At 43.3% G+C, this 3,975-nt stretch overlaps 2 annotated features.

Annotated features, from left to right (window-relative positions):
• Nucleotides 1,210–1,832: an enhancer, noted in NCBI's record as "H3K27ac-H3K4me1 hESC enhancer chr4:142804282-142804904 (GRCh37/hg19 assembly coordinates)". NCBI's record gives its function as "activates a minimal SCP1, AML or CMV promoter by ChIP-STARR-seq in primed H9 embryonic stem cells {active_cell/tissue: H9 hESC(primed)}" and the evidence as "EXISTENCE:reporter gene assay evidence [ECO:0000049][PMID:30033119]".
• Nucleotides 1,833–2,456: an enhancer, noted in NCBI's record as "NANOG-H3K27ac-H3K4me1 hESC enhancer chr4:142803658-142804281 (GRCh37/hg19 assembly coordinates)". NCBI's record gives its function as "activates a minimal SCP1, AML or CMV promoter by ChIP-STARR-seq in naive and primed H9 embryonic stem cells {active_cell/tissue: H9 hESC(naive and primed)}" and the evidence as "EXISTENCE:reporter gene assay evidence [ECO:0000049][PMID:30033119]".

Genomic DNA, 3,975 nt, shown 5'->3' with positions numbered 1-3,975 from the left:
CAGCCTTACTTTGTTCTAGGTCCTATGTTAAGTGTTTTATAAGCATTAGTTTATTGCATTCTGTAAAAATCTCTCTGAGATAGGTATTATTATTACTATTCTCTCCATGTTTCAAGTGGGAAAACCAGGCTTAAAGAGGTTAAGAAATAGAGGTATACTAAGTAAATATGGCAAACTAATGAATACCACATTCTTCTCCTGGGGTTATTGGAGAAGTCAGGTAAGTCTTATGGACAACAATAAGAATAATCCCAAAAGGCTATGTGAACATTCAGTTTAAAATTGTTAGACCTTGGAACTAGGTAGAGCAATGTTTTCCAAACATGTCTAATCATAAAGTTGCCCTAGGTACACAAGTTAAAAATACAGAAACCTAGGCTATATCCCCGACCAAACAAAACAGAAGCTCTAGAGAAAGTTTCAGTAATGTATAGTTTTAACTAGCACGTAGGTGACTCTTAGTGATGAGCAAGTTTGGGGACCACTGAACTAGAGCACTTTAATCCTAAATAACACCAGACTGTCAGGAGAGAGGAAGAGTATTTCAACCCTGATTCTCCTGGTGTGTACAAAGAACAAGTACATGAGTTCCTGGTGCTTCAGCCACCACTCTTCCTCTTCCTGGGTCAAAATCCATCGTTTTATGTATACGTACACACACACACACACACACACACACATATCAATATATATATCTACACACATGCAAATATATCTCCACCCTCCATCCCACAACAATGAGAGATTGTTTCTGATGTTTGGCTCCAACACAGCACAGCACTCTTAGGAACAGTGGTATGAGCCAATGTTCACATTACCATAATCAGGCTACCAGGGTAAAGTCAGAGCTACTGAACCATGTTATGCATTAATTGGGTGGAAAATAAGGAAGTCTGCAAGGGTTTAGATTTAACACAAGTTAAAGATATAGAAATTCAAGCTAAAATCTTTATTTAATCTCCACAAAAAGAGGTCTGCTCTTTGGGGATTTTAAGAGCCTTGCTTAATGATGAGATGAGCATATACTGCTGGCAAAGGCTGAAGGAAGCTGGTGTACATCATGACCTCCTTTGCTAGACTGCTCAGCACCAGTCTGTGCCAATCCTTTTGAGTACTTGTGTTTAATAACTTCTGATTTCTCCAAATTTTATTTTTCTCTCTATGAGGCAGTATGTACGAGCAAATTAAACCCACACAGTCAGTGGTTCCCAACAGGATGTCTGTGGGTGCTCTGTGGATGGGTTCCTTTGACTTTCTAGGCTTGCCACTCTTTGTCATAGGATGGTACTCACCTTTTGCATGGCAGCAGACCCTATAGTTTAAAGCAGAGGGAAGAGCTGACGTGAAGGAGAAGGGGAAAATGGAATTAATTTTTCTGAGAATGAGAAAGGTTAAGCAAAAATCTCTTTCCGTTCTCTGCTCCAGATGGTTGTTTATTTCTATTTGATATGTTTGCTTTATAATCATATTCTAGTTAAATAAAACAGCACCTTTCTATTGCATTAATCACAACTCTTATTTTTATTATTTTTCCCATTTTCACTGCATTATTCATTTTCTAAAAATATTTATTAGCTGATTCTCGGGGAGGAGCCAAGATGGCCGAATAGGAACAGCTCCCGTCTACAGCTCCCAGCGTGAGCGACGCAGAAGACGGGTGATTTCTGCATTTCCATCTGAGGTACCAGGTTCATCTCACTAGGGAGTGCCAGACAGTGGGCGCAGGCCAGTGGGTGCGCACACCGTGTGCGAGCCGAAGCAGGGCGAGGCATTGCCTCACCTGGGAAGTGCAAGGGGTCAGGGAGTTCCCTTTCTGAGTCAAAGAAAGGGGTGACGGACGCACCTGGAAAATCGGGTCACTCCCACCCGAATATTGCGCTTTTCAGACCGGCTTAAAAAACGGCGCACCACGAGACTATATCCCACACCTGGCTCGGAGGGTCCTACGCCCACAGAATCTCACTGATTGCTAGCACAGCAGTCTGAGATCAAACTGCAAGGCGGCAGCGAGGCTGGGGGAGGGGCGCCCGCCATTGCCCAGGCTTGCTTAGGTAAACAAAGCAGCCGGGAAGCTCGAACAGGGTGGAGCCCACCACAGTTCAAGGGGGCCTGCCTGCCACTGTAGGCTCCACCGCTGGGGGCAGGGCACAGACAAACAAAAAGACAGCAGTAACCTCTGCAGACTTAAATGTCCCTGTCTGACAGCTTTGAAGAGAGCAGTGGTTCTCCCAGCACGCAGCTGGAGATCTGAGAACCGGCAGACTGCCTCCTCAAGTGGGTCCCTGACCCCTGACCCCCGAGCAGCCTAACTGGGAGGCACCCCGCAGCAGGGGAACACTGACACCTCACACGGCAGGGTATTCCAACAGACCTGCAGCTGAGGGTCCTGTCTGTTAGAAGGAAAACTAACAAACAGAAAGGACATACACACTGAAAACCCATCTGTACATCACCATCATCAAAGACCAAAAGTAGATAAAACCACAAAGATGGGGAAAAAACAGAACAGAAAAACTGGAAACTCTAAAACGCAGAGCGCCTCTCCTCCTCCAAAGGAACGCAGTTCCTCACCAGCAACGGAACAAAGCTGGATGGAGAATGACTTTGACGAGCTGAGAGAAGAAGGCTTCAGACGATCAAATTACTCTGAGCTACGGGAGGACATTCAAACCAAAGGCAAAGAAGTTGAAAACTTTGAAAAAAATTTAGAAGAATATATAACTAGAATAACCAATACAGAGAAGTGCTTAAAGGAGCTGATGGAGCTGAAAACCAAGGCTCGAGAACTACGTGAAGAATGCAGAAGCCTCAGGAGCCGATGCGATCAACTGGAAGAAAGGGTATCAGCAATGGAAGATGAAATGAATGAAATGAAGCGAGAAGGGAAGTTTAGAGAAAAAAGAATGAAAAGAAATGAGCAAAGCCTCCAAGAAATATGCGACTATGTGAAAAGACCAAATCTACGTCTGATTGGTGTACCTGAAAGTGATGGGGAGAATGGAACCAAGTTGGAAAACACTCTGCAGGATATTATCCAGGAGAACTTCCCCAATCTAGCAAGGCAGGCCAATGTTCAGATTCAGGAAATACAGAGAACGCCACAAAGATTCTCCTCAAGAAGAGCAACTCCAAGACACATAATTGTCAGATTCACCAAAGTTGAAATGAAGGAAAAAATGTTAAGGGCAGCCAGAGAGAAAGGTCGGGTTACCCTCAAAGGGAAGCCCATCAGACTAACAGCGGATCTCTTGGCAGAAACCCTACAAGCCAGAAGAGAGTGGGGGCCAATATTCAACATTCTTAAAGAAAAGAATTTTCAACCCAGAATTTCATATCCAGCCAAACTAAGCTTCATAAGTGAAGGAGAAATTAAATACTTTACAGACAAGCAAATGCTGAGAGATTTTGTCACCACCAGGCCTGCCCTAAAAGAGCTCCTGAAGGAAGCGCTAAACATGGAAAGGAACAAACGGTACCAGCTGCTGCAAAATCATGCCAAAATGTAAAGACCATCAAGACTAGGAAGAAACTGCGTCAACTAACGAGCAAAATCACCAGCTAACATCATAATGACAGGATCAAATTCACATGCAACAATATTAACTTTAAATGTAAATGGACTAAATTCTCCAATTAAAAGACACAGACTGGCAAATTGGATAAAGAGTCAAGACCCATCAGTGTGCTGTATTCAGGAAACCCATCTCACATGCAGAGACACACATAGGCTCAAAATAAAAGGATGGAGGAAGATCTACCAAGCAAATGGAAAACAAAAAAAGGCAGGGGTTGCAATCCTAGTCTCTGATAAAACAGACTTTAAACCAACAAAGATCAAAAGAGACAAAGAAGGCCATTACATAATGGTAAAGGGATCAATTCAAACAAGAAGAGCTAACTATCCTAAATATATATGCACCCAATACAGGAGCACCCAGATTCATAAAGCAAGTCCTGAGTGACCTACAAAGAGAC

The sequence above is a fragment of the Homo sapiens genome, chromosome 4, assembly GCF_000001405.40.
Source record: "Homo sapiens chromosome 4, GRCh38.p14 Primary Assembly".
Lineage (NCBI taxonomy): Eukaryota > Metazoa > Chordata > Mammalia > Primates > Hominidae > Homo > Homo sapiens.
The sequence above is the reverse complement of the archived record's forward strand: the minus strand, read 5'-3'. Positions and strand labels throughout refer to the sequence as shown.